The sequence below is a fragment of the Homo sapiens genome, chromosome 9, assembly GCF_000001405.40.
Source record: "Homo sapiens chromosome 9, GRCh38.p14 Primary Assembly".
NCBI classification, from domain to species: Eukaryota; Metazoa; Chordata; class Mammalia; order Primates; family Hominidae; genus Homo; species Homo sapiens.
The window spans coordinates 3,913,678-3,937,377 of NC_000009.12; the positions used below are offsets into that span (position 1 = coordinate 3,913,678).

The following is a 23,700-nucleotide window of genomic DNA, read 5'->3' on the forward strand; positions in this document are numbered from 1 at the left end:
AGTAATTTTATTCTTTTTCATATTGAAAAGCAATTTCTCTTCATCTTGCTGTTAGCACTCGTGATTTTCTACATTTTGTAATAGCTATTTAGAAATTATATCAATATGTGTGCACATCATAAAAGACAAAAAGGGCTTTATAAACAACCCTTGAGTGTTTGATCATGCAACCTAAAACAGTCCTTCTTTTCACATGAAAGGTACTCTATAAATGTTTAGGGAATGTGTGAACAAGTAAATGAATGAATGACAAATGAGCCAATGGCTGCTGAGTATTTATTAATCCATGCTTAACCTTTGGGGTAGGCCCCAAAGACAAATGAAATCACGTCACATGCAACATCAGGGGAAGAAAAGAATGGGGCAGTTTAAGTATGCCTAAATTATCAATTAAGAATAAAATGGTAAATAGCCAAGTGAAATTGAACCGAAATTTTTTTTAAAAAGACACTTGGGTAGTTTCTTTCTTTCTTTCTCTTTTTTTAGAGATAGTGTGTTTGCTTTGTCACCCAGGCTGGAGTGCAATGGCGTGATCATAGCTCACTGTATCCTTGAATTCCTGGGCTCAAGCTATCCTCCCATCTCAGCCTCCTGAGTAGCTGGGACTACAGCTGTACACCACCAAATCTGGCTAAGTTTTTTCAGATTTTTGGATTTTTTTTTTTTTTTTGCAGAGGCAAGATCTCACTATGTTGCTGAGGCTGCTCTTGAACTCCTGGGCTCAAGTGATCCTCTGGCCTCGGCCTCCCAAATTGCTGGGATTATAGGCATGAGCCTCTGCGCCCAGCCAAAGTTTATTTCTTTATAATATTCAACCCACATTCATGCCAAATTTCACTAGATAACACTATTCACATTTATATGTTGCCTCTTGGGATATGTAAATGAGCAATCCTTCCAATAGGAAATGCTAATTCACTACATTATACTTCATATCTCTCATTCATCTGGAAGGGCTGGGAACAAATCCAATTTTCCACCTTGCTTCTAAAGAGTCAATGTCAAGTGTAAATTTGGTAAGTAGAAAACAGAAATTTCAAGCTGATTAGGTCCCAAATTATACATTCCAGCCCCCTGTTTGACAGACTACACAGCCAAGATGAGAACCTTCATCTTCTGACCACGGATTGAGTAAGTGACCAGCTGGTAAACCTGATCGCACTGGCCCTGCTCCACATCCAGTCTTTAGCACTGCCCCAAAGTCTTCTTCCCCTGATGTGATGCCACCAAAGTAAAGAGCTTGCCCGTGGTGTTATTTTCGTCAATGCACAGAATTACTGTCAGTAATTTCCCTCTTCTTGTCTGAGCACTGTATGTCTTAGAGCAATGCATGTCTTAGAGCAATGCATGAATCACATGACCTTTTGATGCTTTGGTGAAATAAAGCTCCTCTCCTTGGTCATCAGAAAGGAGGCCTGGCTTGGAGAAGTGCCTCAGGGTGAAGCCCAAGACAGGGACTAGACTCTCCTAGAGCCTTCCTATAGCCTGTATAGACTCTGCCAAAGTCATCTTCATGTTTATCATCTACCATTCCTCCTTTAGGTACTGACACCATTCTGTCTTTCTTCTTATCATCCACCCCCTCCAATTATCCCAATCCCCTCTCAAAAAAACAAAATTCCATCCCAGAAGTTCAGACTAGAAAGTCAAAAATCTAAGGAAAGTGTTGCAAGAATGATGAGGACTGTCAGTGGCTGCTCACGGTATACAGATTCCATCTCACAAGCACTGTCCAGGATTGCATTAGTCTTGGTGGTTCTGACAGAATGGGGAGAAACAAGACCGGGTCAAGAGGAGGCATCAGGAACAGGTATTATCAGCCTTGCATGTTGTCCTCTAAGTTAGAGGACTGGATAATATTTTTCTTTTCCAGATGCCCTGTTATCTGCAGGTTTTAGCTTGTATACTTTTGTTCTCAAGGTCTACAAGAAACTCCAGGCTCAGCGGTCTGCTGTGTCTAACTCCATTTGCAAATGCTCCAGCCTTCATGATGTTGCCTGTCTGTCATAATTATCAGCAGCCCCCTGGAAAGATGCTATTACTGGAAGTAATTTCACATTCTGACATGGCAGGAAGCTAGTACAAGTTGTAGGTACCTCAGATCTCTGCAAAGAGTCATGTATGCTGGTAATTTTTAGTTCACTAGAAATAAATTTATCAAAGAAATACTCTCGCATATATATGCTGAGGGAAGGAAAAATGCCATAAAAAGGCATATCTCTCTTTCTTCCCCAACCATCCTCCAAAGAACTAGGGAAGACAAGTCAGTGTGGGGGCCATATTTTTTATCTGACTTAAAAGAAAGAAAATCAGATTTTTTAAAAAATCAGAAATTAACAAGTAGAACAAGTCTTCTAGTCCATGTAGAAGAAAATCTTAGAAACAAAGAGTAGAAACATTAAGGAATAATAATCAATCCTTCTGAGAATGCTGTTTTACTGTCCATAGAAACTAAAGCCTGTGCTTTTTAGCAGAAACCCAAGAGTCTGTTGACAATAGAAAGCACATGCCTTTGTGAAACTCCCATAGTAATCGAACATCAAGGAAAGGTAGTATGTGAAATACGGGCGACTTAATTTTTCCCTAGCATCACGAAGATCAAAAGAATATCTCTATTCTACCAAGGAGACACCCCAAGTCTTCTACCTCCCCACTGGGGGACCAAGCAAATTCCTTGATTTCTCATGTCATTACCACAGCCTGAAATGATGTAACAATAACAGCAAACCGGGGTGTCCCCCTGCGCCAACTCTCTAATCAGGTTCAAAGTATGTTTTGTTGGTTCTCATTGACGCCACTCAAAGGAACTGGTCACTCGTGGTCTCAAAAGTTTTACAACAAATTGTGTGATTAAATTCCTTAAACACGTCTGTCCATTACTAATCCTCTTTTGCCAACATCCCTTTCAGAGAAAAATTGCAGCGCTGCATGGTGCCTGATTTATATTTCATTTTGAGAACAGGAAGTAAAAGGATTAAAGTTAAGGATTAAAACACTTACTCTTTACTGCATTTTTTTTTCTCCTCCTGAATGGCTTCCTGGTTGCCATGGCTACTGTTCACTGGTCCTTAGCCCTGAATGCACATCTCTTTGCATTAATAAAATATTTTAAATGAGACTTCATGGAAAACAATAGGAAAAGTAGCTTTAAGTTCAATTGCTCTTGAAAAAGCAGGTACAAATTTTTAAAAATCCTTTTTCTTTGTCCTTTTATTAGTATATTCAAGAGGGAAACTTGAACTAAAAGACAGCACAGGGAGTCTAAAGATGTACAATGCAAAATCAGAATTATTCAGCAAGGGCACAAAGAGGTAACTCTGAGATAGTGAGTTGGTCCTTAGCTTACAAACCAGTGTTTGTAGGAAGATTAAGGGTCCCTGGGAATTTCTCAAATGTTGCAATACCACAGAACATTTAAAAGGCAAAAATGCACGTAAATGCAGTGTTGCAATTCCAAATTGGAAATACTAGCCAGGAAATGAAAAACTGAGGTTTTCACTACCACAAAGTTAACTTAACCATAACAATGTAAATATCATTGCTTTGTACCCAAGTTGCTGGTGTTCCTGGTACCAGCATGTCATAGGAGTGTGGCCAAAGGGGCAATACCACGACAGCATGTGCTGTCAGAGCTGAAGATGTTTGCATGAACAGTGCACTCAGCTGAGGCCAAGTTAGGCACCCAGAAGAAAGGGTGACATTGACAAGTGAGCAAACACAACTCCATTTGAATTGTTCCTCTAAAAACCCTCCATTGAAATTCATTTTAGAATATACTGCCTACATTCCTTTAAAAAGCCAAGGAAAACTGATGAGATGGAACATAATAAAACTCCTTTTTAACTTCTATTCTTAAAGCCCAATAGCAGGATGAGCTCCAGTATAAATTGTGAAGTGACTTCTAAAACACTACTCCATCCATTATTTTTTTTTTTTCAATGCTCTCTACTTCCAAGTTTTTCTCTGCCTTGTCATCTATTGGTTTCAAGTTATTCCTTTATTCCCCAGGGCCCCACTGAAACGACCTCACCCAGGTCCAAGTATACTCTATTTCTGACTTCTTTCAACCCCATATTCCTATTGAAACCACCGTTCCTGTATAGTAGCCACAGAAAACGGACATAGTTGCTCCTTGAAAATTGGTAATTGAACCCACATTGACATATAATGGGAGTGAAGTGTTGCACTGCCTTTGCTATACAATGAAAAAATAACTAATAGGGATCTTCTGGAGATAATCCTATAACTGAAAAGAATGATTGTATTGGCGGCAATTTTATGCTTTCTAGAAGGCTAGTGCTAAGAATAATTTCAGGTGGGGGTGGTAAGGAACGTCTATCAAATCATGAGATAACTGATGGCACTCATGGGCAGGACTGTAGACTCTCAAACAAATGTGGATGAAAATGTTTAGGGCTAAATGCAGACTGGCAAGATAGAGTCATGTCTTTCAAATATCCATGTTCCCTCTTTCCTGGTTTCAGTCTTTTCTTTTGGAAACTACTTTTATTTCAGGACTATCCTGAATATTTAGGGTCATTTGAGGGCAGGCTGGGATTAGTGTTTGGCTGTCCTTGCACATTTGCAATTAAGAAGGACCAACAAGAACTCCACCTTGAGAGGCAATTCTCTATGATGTGTCTTGTGAGCAGGGAGGGAGACTGGCAATCTTTCTGAACTATCTTTTCAAAGATGCTTTGAAAAACCATGACAGTGTCTCCCTCCTGATCAAAAGGCAAGCATGCTTATGTCTATTATAAAAGATTCAAGTTCCCTAAGCTCAGAATTTCCCTCTTGTAATACAACCTAGTGCCTGGCCGTCTTCATGGTACCTTATGGGAACTAGGACTTAAACAACTGGCATAAGAAAATGATGATACTCTGGCTATCACTATTACTATAAATAATACACTGTCCTTTGAGACTCTGACCCAGGAGTCTCATGTCTCCTGCCAGTATCCATGAAACTGTGGCAGGCTAACTTGCTAGTGTGTAACCTAGGGTAAAATCTCAGACTCTTTGTAATTCTTGCCCTCTACAGGGCCATCCCTAGGATACACATGGCATTGAAAACAAAACACAAAAAAACAAAAACTGTGGGGTTCTTGTCTATATAATCAATTTGAGTCACCCTCAATCAGAATGCCAGAACCACTGTAGAGGTCCAATTTCAACCAATTCAGCTAAAGAAATGCCACAATGACCAATGTTCACCAACCAACCTTTTGGAATTAGGATCTGCTTATAAGACCCCGGGAAGATCCCATAGGTGTGAGTTCTAGAGCTCCTTGGGGTACTTAGTTGACCCTACATATATGGAAGAGGGTGGGAAAGTGCCCTGAAGGATGGAATGGGGGACAGTGACCATGTGGGTCTCAGTGTAGGATCAGATTGCCCCAACTGGATGGTACTGCTGACCTAGCCACCAAGAGGAGAGCTTACACAATTTTCAATTAGGTACTCCAAAGCATGGGGAAAATCTACCACCATCTCTAACAGAGGCCACTATAGAATTCATGCCAAGAACTTGTTGATAAGTTATAAAATTTTCAGTGTTGGGAAATCAGACCGCCATAGTCAGAATGGTAAAGCCAAAAGAGCACTGCATGTTGAGTTAGAAAAATGCAGCTTGAGTACAGTTCTACTGCTTACTGAATGTGCTTTGTTAGTCATTTAACGTCTCTGAACCTGAGGTCTTTCATCTCTAAAATGAAATGTGTTCTCATCATTTAGCTCCCACTTATAAGTGAGAACATGAGAACACATGGAGACATATAGGGGAACAACACACACTGGGGCCTGTTGGGAGGGTGGAAGATGGGAGGAGGAGAATCAGAAAAAATAACTAATAGGTAGTATGCTTAATACCCGGGCAACAAAATAATCTGTACAACAAACCCTCATGACACAAGTTTACCTATATAACAAACCTGCACATGTACCCCTGAACTTAAAGTAGAAGTTAAAAAATAAAAAAAAAAAATTAAAAATAAAAAAAAATAATAAAATGAAATGAAATGGGATCAGGATACCCCAACTGGATGGTACTATTGGCTCAGTTACCAAGAAAGGGGCTTGAAGAATTTTGGAAAAGATACTTCAAAGCATGGAGGCTCTACCATCTCTAATAGAAGGCCACAATATTAATTGTAATACTAGCCTCGTAGAATTGTTTTGAAGACTGAAAAAGTAAACACCCATGAAAATACCCAGCAAACGGGTATTTGGTGATTATTATTGTTGGCCCTCCCATTTCTTTTAAACTGTTATTTCATAACTAAGGAGAATAAAAATAGCTAATGGCATCCATTATGCTATTACAGTTTTTTTTTTTTTTTTTTTTTGAGACAGAGTCTCACTCTGTTGCCCAGGCTGGAGTGCAGTGGCACGGTCTCGGCTCACTGCAAGCTCCGCCTCCTGGGTTCACACCATTCTCCCGCCTCAGCCTCCTGAGTAGCTGGGACTACAGGCGCCCGCCACCACACCCGGCTAATTTTTTGTATTTTTAGTAGAGACGGGGTTTCTCCGTGTTAGCCAGGATGGTCTCAATCTCCTGACCTCGTGATCCACCCGCCTCGGCCTCCCAAAATGCTGGGATTACAGGCATGAGCCACTGTGCCCGGCCATTACTGACTGTTTTAAATATCAAATCACCCTTTCTTGCTTTTGGTGATGGTTGAAGAGATAAAAGTGGTACTGAGTTTGTGAGTGTTTTTGCTATGTTAAAGTGTCTAATCAATTTCATGCTTAATATTCTATGGGGAAGGGAAATATTAATGAGGATAGAGACGGGAGATGGGGAAAATATTATGAAGCATTAGGTTCCTCAGTTCATTTATGCTATGATTTAGGGCTCCCTATGTGTCTGAGTCTTTGTGACTCAGAAATTCAGGAACTTACTCTTGACATATTTTTGAATATAAAAGAACAGGTTTTTTTTTTTTTTTTTTTAAAGAAGAGGTGGGGGATCATCTTTGGATCCTTGGTTGCTATTTTGAGTACACAGAAATGAAATCCGATTTCTATATTTGCTTATGTACACATGAGGAAATGAAATGTCAAGGATGTCCTTTGCACTATTATCTCAAAATACAGTTTCTATTCAAAGTCTACGATGGGTAAACATTATCTAAATTCCTATAGCCTAGCTGGTGCTTGTGTGCTAGACTAGCCCAAAGCAGTATTGTGAAACAGAGCTTCTTGTCTTCGTGCCTTGCCAGCTCTCTACCTATATTTTTCCTTTTGAGTCTCCTTTTTCAAAGCTCAGTGATGTCCTTAGAGATTTGAAATGAGGAAAACTTCTCATTACAGTAATTTATCCTTTTTACCACCAAACTTAAAGATCTTGCATCACAACCCTACGGGACTTCGCAGTATGGTTGTCACTGAATCTGAAAGCAAATTGGAGCTCAAGTTTTGATTATGCACAGTGGTGTCATGCATTATTCCTTCAAGATAAGGTGTGTAGTACAACAGCTGCCTGCGATGTGTATCTCGAAATGAGGACAGTTGAAATTGTATTCAGATCACCCACAAGAAAGTGCCCTTCTCATTTAACTAAGTTGTGTCCAGGAGAAAAGAAAAAATTATGTTCTGAGCACCTCCTACATTCTGCAGTTTGGATTTTTCACTAAGTCCATTCACAGGCATGGTCTCACTTGAATCACACAATCGCCCTGTGGAGGTAGGTTGTTTTAGCATGGGAACCGGAAGCTCAGAGAAGCTAAGTAATTTCTCCCAGAGTCAGAGCTAAGATTCAAACTCAGTCAGGCACAGTTCCAAAGCCTTACTTGTCCTTTACAAAAAACAAGAACTACCACCATCAGAAGAGTAGTTTCACTAAAATGGGAGAAAGCTGGAGTTTAAACAAAATAGTGGAATAATGAGTTGGCCTTTGTAAAAGTGACATCAAAACAGAAACCTTTAGATGGGGGAGAAAAATCTAAAAATATGTAAAAATATATCTATAGTAAATTTTCTATGATTAAAAAATCCACACAGCAAATCAAGTTTCACAAATGGCAAACTACTAAAATATATGCAATATTTATGACAATTAACTAGTTAATATCTGTTATATATAGTTACTTCAAATCAATATAAAAATTATCCATAAAATAAGAAAAGACAACAGATAATATAAAATTGAAATATAAATGGTTAATAAATTTTGAATAATCAAATCTACCAGCAATCTAAGAACTGTATATCAATAGTTCATCTATTATTCATCCATCATACTGTGTACACACACACACACACACACACACTCACACTTCACATTGGTAAAGTGTAAGAAAAAAGTTGGTTTTATATAGTCCTAACAGAAATTCAAACAAACTGTTACAAATTTTGGGGAAGTCATTTTGGCAATATGTTGTAAGGAATTTATTTGAAGCACTTTAGGATATGTACTAAGATCTATATACTAGCATATGCGCTATAGAATTGTTCATGATAGTACAATCTTTAAAATCATCTAATTGTCTGAAAATAGAAAGTTGGTTAAGTGAAATGCAGTGTATCTTTTAAAATGCAGTCATTAAAAATATAGTTACTGTCAAGGCAATATATTCACTATATACCACTTAGAAGAATCAAAACAGAGGGACCCATAATATGATTGCATATGACAGGAAAAAATATATAGAAAGATAGGCACCAAAGTTAAGCCACTGTGATTCATTGATTGTAAAATATATGCTAACATCTCTGAAATCAAGACAAGACTTACAATCAATGGTGTCTTGGTTTCAATGAAAGTTTGCATATGTCCTCATTTTCTTTTTACACAGATAGGCATCGCTTATGTAATTTTAAAAAGAAGAATGGACTCTGAACATGATATAACAACACTGCTACTACCTGGCTTATTTATATTTTTTCTACAGGAGGGAGTGGTGAAGGGGAAATGCGGAAAAATAATTGCTGGGGGTAAGGTGGGGAAGGATAGGAGAGAAGTTAACAAGAGACCTCATCTAGCTAGTCAGGGAATTCAAGGTTCTAAGTGTTCACAAACTCTGCTACCAAAAACACTTGTAAAGGTGATTATAAAAGTATGCTTTGAAAAAATATAAAGAGAGAAAGCCAAAAAAATGGAGAAAGAGATGCATATCTCAAATTTCAGTAAGGTAAAAAAGAGCCTAGAAATGTATCTAATGACCAGAAAGCTTCAACTTTATGGTTGGAAAGATTCTACGAAGAATAATGGGTTGCCAAGCAGTAAAGAAGGAAGGAAGTCAGTTGGAGTTAGGATGGGGTCATTGGGAACAACCAGAGAATCCTCATTTCCTTTTTAGATACCATTAGTGGAAAGCCACTCCTAGAATTCCAAGATAATTAGCCAAGTCTCTCATGATAGCATTTTGGAAAAGACTGAGAAACCTAGAACTGATGATAGCATGGCTGGGTGTAGTCATAGTTGGATAAGCCACTTATCTAAAGACTGTTGATTAATGGAAATATGCCAACCAAACTAATTGCCTTGTCTCCTTTCACTGTAAATACCTAATTCGTTTCCCACATTACCACTATAATTATCTCTCTAAATCACAGATCTGACCACTGTATATGTTTAACACCTTAGCAGGGCACATAAGGCCCTTTAGCACTGGTTCCTTTGTCGACCTTTTTACCTCAATGCCTATCTCAATAGCCAATAAATGACACTGCAAGCCTCACTGTGACCCTTGCTGACACTGTACTCTACACCATGAATGAAATATAGAGCATAGAGACGAATATAGTCCATACGCCAAAAAATCTGGAATCCGGGTAATAAGAAAAAATTGTGGGAAACTAGAGATATTAAAGGAGAATTTCACAGACATCAGCAAGGTCACCATGGAAAAGCAGCAGCACATTTGGAAGACAGTAGAGCCCATGTGCAAGTGTTTCAGAAAGGTGTTTTTTTTTTCTCTATAGTACAAGGATGTTTGAATATATTAGGGTTGCTAAATAACAGGAATACCCAAAAAGACTATCATAAAAGTCAGAAAGTTTAAGATTACATGAAGAAGCTTTATGAGTATCTTTTGGGACTTCCTAAATGTGTCTCCCATACTAGGCTGCAGGATGGATGAGGTGACATTTAAGGATGCATATAATGCTGATGGGCTATAGCCTAGACCTCATGTAGTGGCAGTGTGACAAGCAACCATCCTAAAAGCCATGCTTTTCTATTATAGTTAAAAGAATAGCCTGTAATCCCACCACTTTGGGAGGCCAAGGCAGGTGGATCACTTGAGGTCAGTAAAAATCTATGGAGCCTCTCCCCAGAAAAATACATTTTGCATATAATTTCTGGGAGTTCATGAGCTTCCTAAAACACAGCCATCCATGGGCCTTTGCCCATGGTCTATGAGCCCCAAGTCAATAACCCCTGAATATAATTAGATTTCACAGGTTCAAATTTGATTTAAATTCCCTCTAGCTTCGATTCCAGCTTGCTTTCCTTTGTCTGGATCTTCTGTTGTGCTATTGTCTGAGTATCTGTATGACCCAGAAAGACTGGCTCTAGTAATCACTGAAAGAATATTCAGTTCTTAGGAAGGAAAATATTTCCAAGGATATTACTGGTCTGTTGTCAGGCACAGTAGACTGCTATGGATTGCAGGTATGTGGCATAACAATGCTTTCTACTGAACTAGCTCCCCTTTCACTTCTGGGGCCCCATGTTTGCCTTTCAAGCTAGTTGCCAAGAAGGGAAAATGGAAAAACCAGGGGAATGTAACTTAAGCTAAGTCCTGAAGCAATTCATGGCAGTGCTTAAAAGAAGCCCATACCTTCTGATGTCCAATCCAAACACCACTCTAAGACATGGCCACCTGCCTGGTATCCACCATGAAAAGTTTTTGTATTAGGCTTATCCACGCCCTTGTGTGAAGTCACCCTGAAAACAAATCTTCACAGATCAGAGAGCCAAGATACAAACAAATGGGAAGATACTGCCCATGGATATCAATGACATAGCTCAACTGAAGCTGAAAAGGAAAGACAAGAGAGAACTACCAGAGGGAGCAGTAATTGCACAAAGGACATGAATACTTTGGTGGGGATGGAGAGGGAGTGCCTGAGAAGGGCAATAGTGAGCTGTGTTATGAGATTTTAGGACACTATATTTAGGTAGCAGAGAGCCTGAGCTAAACACTTTTATTCCAAAATGATTTTCATCAAGAATGCACAAAATTTAATAAGAGAAAGGGAATAAGAAGCTTAGAAGGCTTCTGTCAGTCAGTCAATCAGAAAAACAATTATCTAGGAACTCTTTCCATAAGGTAGCTGTGCTAGGCACTGTACAGCCTGAATAGCTCATTAAAACACCTGTCAGAGGGTCGTCATTCCTTACACAGTTGGCCAGAACTGTGCCCCAAAAACCCATTTTTGGTCCCCATTACCAATTTTCAGGGGGAATAGAAATAAAACTACTTTGTTACATTTGACAAAATATTGTAATGTAATAAAGAATAATACTGATCTCCTTATTGCTTTCAGACAGTAAATATAAGACTACTCCTTAACAATCTCTATCATTTGCAAAGGAACTCCCAAGTTCCATGTTCCAGAAGCTTTCTCTGTGTGACTTTATCATAGCATTTCCCCCACTATACTGAAAGCTGGCATCTCCCGGTGTGTCTCTTGTTAGAATGTAATCTTCAGGAGAGTGGGGCCAGGTCTTGCTTCTAAATCCTCAGAGCTGGCATGGGCCTCGCCTGTACTGAGTACAGCAGGTCCTGGAATAACGTGGTGTCTTTATAATGCTGATGAGAAAAAAAATCGATTCCTGGCCAGAGCTGGTGTCTGTGTGAAGTGTTCTCCCCATGTCTGTATGGGTTTTCTCCAGGTACTCTAGTTTCCTCTCATGTACCAAAGATGTTACCATTAGGTGAATGGGTGTGTCTACATGGTCAGTGTGTGTGCGTGTGCGCGCGTGTGTGTGTGTGTGCGCGCGATCACTGTGATGAGACGGAATCCTCTCCAGGCCTTGAACTGTTGGGGTAGGATCCAGCCACCCTCAACCTTGAACTTAAACAATTGGGAAAATAATTTTTGTATTTGCTTTTAATTATCTTTCTTAAAAGTACATAAGCTCACATTCACTTCAATGTTTAATGTTAAAAGTGTTTGAGATCTTTATTTAGAAGTTTGATGATGTTTTTGTGACCAGAAATATGCCCTCGGAACTTAATTCTCGTTTTATCAATTAGCCTTTGGTAAAATTGGTTCTGTTATACATCATGTTGCTTAGAGTTGCAGTTTCCAAGAACCTACTGAGGCCATTAAGTGAGGGCAGAGTGTACTCAGAGAATCACAAATGCTAACCATCTGGGTCATTTTCTTAGATGGGAGCACTAAGCTATGCTTTTCACTGTCTAGCATGCAGTCCCTCAATTGAGTGCCATCTCCGTTAAGGAGGACAGGCTGCAGAAAGGTGCAATTAAAACAAATTAAGATGATCCTAACATCTATTGCTATAGTTTAGTAGTATCAGGTTCTTTTTTTAAAAGCTCATACAGGAAGGTACAGTATTGCGACTAAAGCAATGCTTTTTCTTTTGTTTTTTTTTTTTTCTTTGACGGAGTCTTGCTCTGTCACCCACACTAGAGTGCAGTGGTGCAATCTCTGCTCACTGCAAGCTCCACCTCCTGGGGTCATGCCATTCTCCTGCCTCAGCCTCCAGAGTAGCTGGGACTAAAGGCGCCAGCCACCACGCCTGGCTAATTTTTTGTATTTTAGTAGAGACGGGGGTTTCACCATATTAGCCAGGATGGTCTCGATCTCCTGACCTCATGATCCGCCTGTCTCGGTCTCCCAAAGTGCTGGGATTACAGGCGTGAGCCACCGCACGCGGCCTGCAATGCTTTTTAAAAATTTGCAGCCAATCTATATTTTTTCATTTCTTTCTTCCTTTCCTCCTTTTCTTTCTCTCTCCTTCCTTCCTTCCTTCTTTTCTTTCTTTCTTTTGTCTTCTCACTCTGTCACCCAGGCTGGAGTGCAGTGGCATGATTACAGTTCAGCTCACCACAACCTCTGCCTCCCGCGTTCAAGGATTTATCCTGCCTCAGCCTCCCAAGTAGCTGGGATTACAGGCGCACGCCACCATGCCTGGCTAATTTTTTTGTATTTTTAGTAGAAATGGGGATTCGTCATGTTGGCCAGGCTGGTCTTGAGCTCCTGGCCTCAAGTGATCCACCCACCTCGGCCTCCCAAAGTGCTGGGATTACAGGCGTGAGCCATTGGGCCTGGCCTCATTTCTAAATTAGTCATTTGAATGTGTTCCCACTACAAATATGATCAGCTCCTCAGAGAGGCCTTTCCTGCCCATCTCACTTCAATAGGCCACCCTCTGTTAACATCCGTATCAGTTCCCTTATTGTTTCCTTATCTGTATTTATGTGGCTGATTTTCTGTTTATTTTTTTTACTGTTGTTGGACTTTCATGAAGATAATGTAAATCTATGAGGGCACAGAACTTGTCTGTCTTATACACATTTGTATCTCTGGATCTAACCTAGTGCCTGACACGCAGTAAGTACTCAATAAATATCTGTTGAGTAGAATAAATGATATTCCTTGAGACTGTACTTTGCAAACAATGTAGTAGAAGAGTAGTTTGTTGAGATCTCTGGAGAAAAACAAAGATGGTTTAGTTGGCCAAATAATTTTGAGCAACGCCTAATGTTACCTTCCTTCTGGAATACTGGTATATCCAAGGCTCTGAGAACTATTGCAAGAAAGAAACCCTTGGGTAGTACTTAACTTAGTGTGTCCTAAATTTATATGACCAAAAAAACTTTTTAAAAGAAATATCTAATAACATTCTGTGGAACGTATTCTAAAGCGCACACCTCGGGCAACAGCTTTAAGCACGAAATAAGATCCTGGACCATTACCCCAGAGATGGTGGTAGATATCTTTCGATATTTTTCTGTATTTACGGAAAGGCCAAAGACAGCTTTTCTGATCACTCAAGAAAGGAAGAGAAGCTTATTCTTACTAAGTGGTCACTTTCATTGACAACCTCTCCTAAATCCTGCAAATTATGGATTCTTACCTCTTTTTAAATGGCTCCCATCACTATGTAGCATCAAAATGCTCTGGAAAGCATAGCTGGCAGCATATTGGGTCTACCTAAAAGGGAAGCCTCCAAGCAACTGGTTTCAAATCCAAATCACTGCTATTGGCACAGGGTTAAATTTAAGATGGCTTATTTTTTCATTTGAGTTTAATTATTAATTAGCATAAAAATTTCTAACCAAAAACACTGGTGTTACAAAAGCATCTCCCAGAGCCTTTATTGAAGTAAGTTACTTTTCAAATGAGAGCATCAGGATATTCAGGTATGTCTCACCATCATTTTGAGGTGTGAGGTAAGTAATGCATCATCAACAATGATTAAAGTACAGAAGTTTGTGACTCGCTTTTAAAAAATCAGTGCCGTTTCAATGTCATCCCCGTAACAGCATCACTCTCCGTCACGTGCATTCTAATATAGTTTCTAAAATGTGAGAGGAAGAGGTGGACTAGTTCATCTTGAGATGATATGTCTGTGATATGTGCCTATTACTAATATTCTATTAATAGTATGACTGATTTTTAATTTATTCCTGAGCAGAAACAAGAAAGGAAAAAAATGAGAAGGGTTTGCAAAATCTGGGGTGGCCCTGATCATGCACCCCACTTGTGCATACACCATCTGCCGTCTAGACCATGACTGAAAGCAACTGACAGAAAAAGTGTGCCTTATTAGTCCACTTAATATATGCTTCAATTTAAAGGAAAATACATATTTTCACATAGCTCTTAAAGATTCAAAGAACTGTACAAAGCAAGGTAAGCTTATGTGATACTTAATGAAAATTTTCTGGTTTTGAGTATATGTGGGGGAGAGGTGGTGGTGGCTCTGAACCGATTTCCAAAAGTTACCAGTTCTCTATGAAGAATTACAGTAAATAGACTGCCCTAATTTTGCCAGAAAGCAATACAGAGCTGTTCTCTACGTAGGACATATAAATGTGTGTTGCATTCGCGCCCATTTCAAATGCTATGCTTGGTTTATAACAGCCTGTTTTGAGGTCACAAAAGTGAAAGCCATCAGCCACAGTGGATCATAGGTCAATGTTTAACAAACATTTAACAAATCACAAATAAAGTTTGAATCTTTGTGGAAGTGTGAAATGGATGAAAGATTCATGTCACCTCTAACTTCCGGCATCCTTTGTATGCACTTTTAAAAAGTCCATTTCGATATCAGTCTAGAATTAAAGGAAACCCTCCTGCTTATGGCACTTACAAGGTGAAAATGAAAAATTCTGATAAAGCTCATAGCCTTGAGGAAAATTTCAAGTGGCTTATTGCCTTAGTTTTCTCTTATTTCACTTACTCATTATCAGACAGAATTGAAGGACAGATTCTGCCCTTTGCTCTATAGGCGAACTTCTTCTATTCTCTGTGGAGACCACAGTTGGTGACTTGAGTATTTCGCTACCCATTTTTCTGTGTAACCCTTGATTTAATGGACTCGAGATCTGCAAAGCACATTCCATGAAAGAAGTCTGTACATCGGCTGATGGGATGTGTGGGTGTGCAGGAATTATGCAAAGAGAAAAGTTACTCTTCTGCATGCAGTGAACCAAATTATCCCCATTCCTTTGCAGAAGAGTTTTTTTTTCTTCTTTTTCTTTCTTTTCACAGCTTGAATAATGTTTAGCTGGGATTTCAGGTTTTTCTTGGTTTTCAGTAGGATCCGACAGGTGTGGGAAAGGGCCACGTGCCCACGGTCAGGGCATCACTTATGAGATCCCGACCCCTCCTCACATGAATTTATCTATGGCTATGGGTGCCTTGTCACTGGCCCCGATTCCACAGTAGGACTCATAAAACTGGCAACCTTAAGACCAAAATAATGTCATTTAATGTCTAGGGGGAGGTTACAAAGGGGATTAGAGGCAGGCAGGCAAGCAGGGTATATTAAATAAGCCCATGACTAACAGGGTGTGACAGAAAAGGGTTTTATTCTTTTCAACAAAACAATTCCCTAGGACTAGGACCATTACTCCACTGTGCCTTTATCACCTTGGAATTTTTATGGTTATTTTTGATTAATTCACATTTTTGTAAAGGCTTTTTTGAAATGAGGCCAGTTTTCAATTTTTAATTAAAGTCGTAAATAATCTTAATTCTGCCTTAAAAGGTTTATTGTTTCTTTTTTTTAATTGCTGCCAGGAAATATTTCAAATACCAAGTCCTGATGTGAGTGAGCAATTAGAATCTCTCCAAGGTCTAGTAACAACATTGTACCATGTAAATATTACACCCTGGTATATCAGCACAAGATTTGGAAATGTGGATTGACTAGTTTCAGGTTTATTAGCAACTGCTTCTCCGGGAATGACATTTCCTTTTTCTGTTGGATGGAGCAACTTGCATCATTTTAACTTCCGCAAATTAATCCATCATGGATTCATAAAGAATTTTTAAAATCTTTGGATAAAAAGGCAGGCTAAAATCGGAAAGTAAACACTGCAAACTTATCACTAAGGGCTGTGCAATGCGAGTCAACAAGTCAATGAAATCCAATTCAACCACTTGCAGAAAACAGTGAACATCAAAAGCTAAGCCATTTGAGAGACAGTGTCTCCATTTACATAAGACAAAATTAAGAGAACACTGCAATTTGACATGAGATTACAATACTGCTCCTTGAAAGTATACTCTTCTTTATTTAGGTTGTTTGTTAAAGGGTGTCTGCAAATTGTCAATAAAATAATATTTTGCAGTCTCAAGATATGGTTTTCTTTTTTCAGTTAGTGCTTCAATAATCTTTCACACAATCAAAACTACTCTTTCTTTATACAGAGGTTGAAACACAACAAATTTGAACAGGAGAAACCATTAATAATTCCTGAAAATATCCCCTGTTATGTTTCCAAATCTGTCATCCTAGGTTACCTTCTTAACTTGAACATCACAGTGTTGCTTATTTGTCTAGATAGGGGACCGATACTCTTTCATGTCCATGACAACTGTTAATCTCTACAAGGGTACTTTCCGATGTTAATGATAGATTTACTATTACAATAAAACCTTACACATTTGCACAACTTGGAGGCAAAAAATGATTAGATTTAGGGGGAAGAAAACCCCCTCATCTAGAAGTTTGTTTTTTACAACTATCATTTATTACTTCAAATTTATAAGGTATATATAGATGATAACAAAAATAATAGACGGTGGTTCTGCTGAAAGTAGTTAATAGCATGCAAAAAGGGTGTGTTATTTTAAGAAGACTAAGCACTTGCTTTCTAACTTTATTTACATTATTAATTAACTTAGCAGTTCCTTTGCTTTTCTGAAACACAAAAGCATATCTAGTGTCTGTCTAATGATCACAGATATCAATTTACTGGGATTCCAATTAAAGAAATTTAACTACATTTCTAGGAAAAAAATGATTTTAACAATTAACTTACAAGAGTGGGTTTGTATGCAATTAAGACTATCTATCAAATCCCCCTGACTGAGCATTTTTCTAACTCACAGGGAAAGGGTCAAATTCCTTCCATATACACACCCTCGGCTGGCATTGTGCTAACACTTCTCAAGGAAGAAAAAAAAAATCTCAAGTAACAAGAAGACTATAGAGCATTTCCCAACATAAAAGTGTTAAATCCCCATAAACCATGAAAGAATGCAAGATTTCTAAGTAGAAGCCACGGTGACCTGAAACCCTTGCCATGGGGTTCAATCACTTGAAATACGTTGAGTCTCAAACTGCCCTTAAATTTGTTATAAAGGGCCCTCAAATGAATCAGGAACCCATCTCAATACCAATGAAACACTCAAAAAGCCAAGATCAGCTCAACATGTTTTCTGCCATGAATAGAAGATACTCACTGATCCAAAAATGTAAAAACTTAGTTACTAGGAAATGCCTTGAAAGGTAGTAAGCTCTCTGTCTCTGGAGGGGTTGAAGCACAGTGCAGTCAACCACTTGCTAGACATCTTATGGAGTTAGGAGAGCAAGCCAGGTGGACAGGATGGTTGGTCTCTAACATTTCTTCCAAATCTAAGATATTATGATTTTTATGAACTTTGAAAATGCGTTCACCCCTCATTAATGTCAAAGTGGTTTTAAGTTCAATTCCTTTTTCAGATTTTCATACAAATCCAGAAATCTGCTTTTTCTCTAAGCTTAAAGAATGCTCTCTACTTGTCCTAGAGACGTACTTACCTTCTTCATTAGAGCTTCACGATATTGGCCAATTGATATTTTATGAAAAAGCATTTCTTTCCAGAAGGATTTCTGTGGTGTTGTTTTTCCCAATTTAATTATCTTTAGCTATCTGAACTTAACTTCTATAAAAGCTTTTTGTTGCTTTCCAGTTTGAGGGACTTTCCTTACTTTTCTCTGATTCCTATTATACAAGCCTTTCCCAGAAATTTGCATAGCTATAGCAGCTATGCAAACCATAGCCATATCAGCTATGCAAACCATAGCCATATCAGCTATGCAAACCATAGCCTTGCTATTACTTCATGGGAGACTTACCTCCTCAAACGGTCTAAAGCAGGTTATACCATGAGAAGTATAAGAATTTCAAGTGCCCTGCAGAAGCTTCGTGTACTACAAGAATAATCTGAACATGCTTTTCCCGACTGGAAGATTCTCTTTTAAAATTACCTTTTTCCTTGCTTGTTGCTCTTTGGAAGAATGTGCCTTCACATGCTTTCTTAGGGAACTTGGGTCTGTGTAGCGTTTGGTACATCCTGGAATTTGACAAGCATAAGGTTTCTAAATGAGAAAGAAAGAAAGAAACAGCTGTGGTTAAATCATAAAGGTAATTGGGGAATGTTTTACTCAAAGACTATTGACTTCAGAGCATGAACTGTTACCAATTGACTGATGTGAAATGCTAGCTAATACTCATGCATTTTAATTACAAAGTCTAGTAACTTTGTATCATGGTTAAGAGAAGGGTAAACTTTCAAGGAACAAAGAGATGCCCTATCCTTGATGATTTCTAAGAGATTGCTTTAGTGTGTGCTCTAACCACAAAACCTCTTGGGGCATTTTTTAATGTGGAAATTATTAGTAAGCATCTCTAGTCATACTTACAGTTATGTTTCCCTGAGAATAATCTTTGGTACTGTCAGAAACTAGTAAACACATATTCTTTAAGGGTTCAGGTAAAGAAGCTGTAGAAAGTCCAGAAAAAAACTGGGTATTTTTCAGAAGAAACCTGATTCAGAAAGAGAAAGGGAGAGAATTAAGAAGAGAAAATTAGTGTAAAGTGAGTAAGAGACAGTAGGTTTCAAACAGACACGTGAAAAATCTTCCAAAGAAGCATTAATAATATTAGTTGCAGAGGTGTCCTGGTGTTGAGCCTGAGTTAAGTGAATAAGCTCTTGGCTGAGTGCAATCAGAACACACATTTTGGCTATTCCATTTCCCCCATGCTCCTGGGAGATGTGAGGTGTGGTGCTTAAGGCTGAGTCTAGCCTCTTTTTTTTTTTTAGATGTTGTTTTGTTCTTGCCTCCCAGGCTGGAGTGCAGTGGCGCAATCTCGGCTCACTGCAACCTCTGCCTCCTGGGTTCAAGTGATTCCCCTGCCTCAGCTTCCTGAGTAGCTGGGATTAAAGGTGTGTGCCACCACGCCCAGCACTTTTTAATTTTTGTATCCTTCGTGCTTAGTACATAATAGAAATGAATGAATTAAGAGCAGCTCACATCCATTCACATTTCAGCACCTATTTCTGTTATGACCCTTAAACTTATCAAAAGTTTGAGGCTATGACTCTTCAGTTGTGAGATAAATCAAAATCTTCAGCCTATTCAAGAAATGAAAAATTTAAAAATCACAGGATTAACTGTGTTTATAACATATATTAATAGTAGCTGATATGCTTAGTGTCTCATCAAGTAAGGTAATAGAGCTGTGCTTGTATGATGTGAAATGTAAGGAAGAGACCTGAAACCATGTCTTGGGATTCTTGCTCTAGAAACTTGTTATAGTAAAAACAAACAAACAAACAAACAAAAAATCTGATTAATCTGATTCCTTTTTAATGTTGCTTCTGTTTTTATGTGCATGTATGTCATTCTGTGAGCAAACAAATAAGTGGATTACATTATTTGACCTGCTAGAAGCCATATTTATGGTTCACTCCTTTTTTTGTGTCACTGGATTCCAAGAACAAGATTAAATCATGAACATATAATTTAATTTGACATACCAAACTTGAATTCTATGTTTGATTATCTGCTGTGTTCATTGATTGACTGACTGTTTGACTGGTTGGTTGAATCACTCAAAAGTATGCTTCCGGGATGTGCTGGGCACTGTGTTTCAGACTAGGGATCTAAAAGTGAACAATGGATAAACCAGGTTCTCGATACCTCATGGTTTCTATAAAATAGTGAGTTTATTATTGGCTAAAGTCACTTGCCAGTTAGTTTCTACCGAGTAAGCAAAGATTTTCTTTAACCTGGGAATCTTTTCTGAATTTGCATAGCCTTCTTGCACTAGCCTTCCCTACCCTGCCCTGGTTTCAGGAGTGCAACTAGCTAAGATCTTTACTGGCGATCCCATTGTAAAAGCTTATGCTTTGAGCATTAGAGGAGATGTTACATGTACAAAAAGCTTGATGACTATTAACAAATTATATAAATTGATGCCATTATTATTACCATGGTCACTACAATTTAGGTTGGTAATGTCATTTTCTATTTGATTTTTTTTTTTTTTTTTGAGATGGAGTCGCAATCTGTTGTCCAGGCTGGAGTGCAATGGCACAATCTCGGCTCACTGCAACCTCCGCCTCCCGAGTTTAAGCGATTCTCCTGCCTCAGCCTCCCGGGTAGCTGGAATTACAGGCATGTGCCACCACACCCAGCTGATTTTGTATTTTTAGTAGAGATGGCGTTTCGCCATGTTGGCCAGGCTGGTCTCGAACTCCTGATCTCAGGTGATCCACCCACCTTGGCTTCCCAAAGTGCTGGGATTATAGGCGTGAGCCACCGTGCCCAGCCTTCTGTTTGATTTTGAGATGTTCTTGGAGAAAGTTTGACTACACACCCACTGTTCCTCTCAGCTGACCTTCACTTTCTTCTCTTGTTGTCAGCCACTAGGGAAGGACTGGTATGCCAAAAAAGTAATGTCAGGGACTGATCTAAGTAGTACTGCTGCAACTGTCATTTTATCTCAGGTTACCTAAGCTTTAACTAGCATGCTACACTTCATCCAACTATATATTTTGTTATTTTCCACCTGTACTGTACAATTACTGTGTAGATATTAAGATGCTAATAGAGAGATTAATTAATACAACTTTTAAGGGTTAGAATTAGGAACTCAGTAATGTTTATGGGAAAACCATTTTTCTACAAATAAGGAATCCACTTAGTTGAAGAAAGATACTTTATCCAAAATTCTGACAGTATTATAGTATAAGGAGTGATTAATGAAAGGGAACAAGGACCTAAATTTAAATAACAAATTCTTCAAGCAAGTATAGTTTGTTTTTAAAATCAAGTGTGTGATTTCTATATGATTTTAAAAGAGCTTACTAATTTGTTAAATGCAGTAAAAAATTTAAACAGGAGCTAGTTTGGAGCTTAAAGGAAAAAATGATGCTTTAAAAATATTTAATAGAGAAATAATTTTTCCAAAAAAAATAGCTGAGTTTTAAAAGCGATTGCATTAACAAAAATCAGGAAACCACTATATTAGGTAGCCTTCCTCAAAAGTTTTTTAAAAAGATATATATTTTTATTCCAAAATGATTTCTGAAAATGCTCTTAGCTTGATTAGCTAAAATTAGCTCCAAGCAAAGGAGGGCAGTGCGAAACCATAACACTTAGCCTCGCAACAGTTCTTGCAACCTACAGATAACTAGCTGGAGTAGAAGCAATTTCTCAAGACAATCTTGTCTCATAAATGTTCATTCTTCCATGATAAAGGTTAATGACGAATTGGAAAGTTTATTGGATCTCACCAAGACCATTTTAGGCACAACAAAATAGGGCATTTTAACACAATTTATTCTTTTTTTTTCTTTTTCTACTTAGAAAAATCCCACTATTCACCACATGTATTCATTTAGTGTTCCATTTTATTGGTCCTAAAATCACTGAATTCAGGTAGAGTAGAAACTGGGTCCATCCTACACCCATGTTGCTCTAATTATATTTGAGATATTTACTAGGCAAACCATCGCATTTATGCATATTAGGGGATAATTCTGTTTAGAAAGGTTATGTGACATATAGCTAAAATGACTTCTATGAATATGACTAATAGAGACTAATATAAAATTTAATAAATATGTCAACTATAACATCAGAAGAATCTTAAATATGTATGAGAAGGTGTGTAGAAATAACAGTATCTTTTCAAAATTCAAACTCTGGTGTAGTTTAATAATAGACATCAGAATGTTAACACCGAAAAAGTACTGTCATGAATACATTATTTGCAAGAATGTGGGATAAGAGATCTGTGATGTGTATAATACACTTATCCTGATGGCTTTGTTAAGCGCAGTGAAATTACATAGAGTCTACCTGGCCTAGTGTAACGAAAATGGCATCAAAACCTGGGAAATGCAAAGGAGGGCTATCAACATAATTGAGAAAATAAAAGACAAGAATCATAGAAAAGGCATTTGGGAATGAGCAAAATGTTGTAGCATTAAGGGACTTAAGGGTGTAATAATGAAAATCAATTGTTCTCATAGGGTTGATGTCAAAGAATATGTGGCTGCTAACAGATAGGAAGCATGAGGAAAGTGAACTCTTGGGAAAGATTTACTGTTTCTTCTTAGATCAGCTGAAGGTGAAAATACCAGGTGGTTTCTAAAGCAAAGGGCCAAATTCACTCTTGAAAATCATTCTAGCTGCAAAGTTCTATGTCAAGAGGGAAAGAACCAGGGTAGAAAAAAAAAACAAAGAAAAACAAACAAAAACTGCTTCATATTCCTAGCAATAGCACACAGTACCGACTTGATATCTCAATACTGTTTTTAATGCCAGTCTCTCCTGATCACTCTCTGTACTAAAATCTACTACATGACAGCCCCTAAACTGCTTTTGCTTTGTACACAGCGGTGACCAAGTAACCCTTCTGTCCCAGGAGGTTGTAATATTTAGAATAAACTGCTGCTACAGAAAAATGAAACAGCCAAATAAATAGGGCCCCATCTGGCCTTTTACCAGGCTCCACTGCTGCCCTTGGCATTGTCCCTGTAACCTGCAGACCATAAAGCAAACACTTCACCAGCCCACTATCAAGCAGGCACTTCCTCACACCAGGCGCTGGGTTGGAAACTGGAAAGCTCCTGCCATTCTTACGGTGTCCAGATGCGTCCGCTGGTGTTTGGCGCGGTCACTGGAGTTACTGAAGGCCTTCTGACAACCCGGATGCTGGCACAAATACGGCTTCTCGCCTGTGTGGCTCCGCAAGTGGATCTTGAGATTTTCAAGCCTTGAAAAGGCCTTCTCGCAACCTTCAAACTGCAAAAAGAAAACAATTTTTGGTGGTTGAGAAGGACCTTGAATGTTTGAGTCTGGGGGACAGCTAAAAAAAAAATGTTCTTAGTTGGTACTTTGCCGAAAATGATAAAATAAAATCAAATCCAAACAGTAATAAATATTGCTCCTAAAAATATCCGAATATTTATGTGAACTGCATTTTTCCACTG

General features: G+C 38.5%; 1 protein-coding gene across 12 annotated transcripts in view, besides 1 other annotated feature; it reads right to left on the minus strand.

Moving 5' to 3' along the window:
- The window catches only part of GLIS3 (GLIS family zinc finger 3), a 666,339-nt gene that overhangs the window by 89,551 nt on the left and 553,088 nt on the right, over positions 1–23,700 (minus strand). For all 12 annotated transcript variants that reach the window (XM_047422890.1, XM_011517763.3, NM_001438912.1 and 9 more), the window contains 2 exons: positions 23,351–23,512; positions 18,683–18,793 (listed from right to left, as the gene is read on the minus strand). In XM_047422890.1, coding sequence (XP_047278846.1) covers positions 18,683–18,793; positions 23,351–23,512 — 273 coding nt within the window. The remainder of the gene's footprint in view (positions 1–18,682; positions 18,794–23,350; positions 23,513–23,700) is intronic.
- Positions 13,618–14,817: an enhancer, noted in NCBI's record as "CDK7 strongly-dependent group 2 enhancer chr9:3927295-3928494 (GRCh37/hg19 assembly coordinates)". NCBI's record gives its function as "activates an origin of replication core promoter dependent on BRD2, BRD4, P300/CBP, MED14 and CDK7 cofactors, with strong dependence on CDK7, by STARR-seq in HCT116 cells {active_cell/tissue: HCT116}" and the evidence as "EXISTENCE:reporter gene assay evidence [ECO:0000049][PMID:35650434]".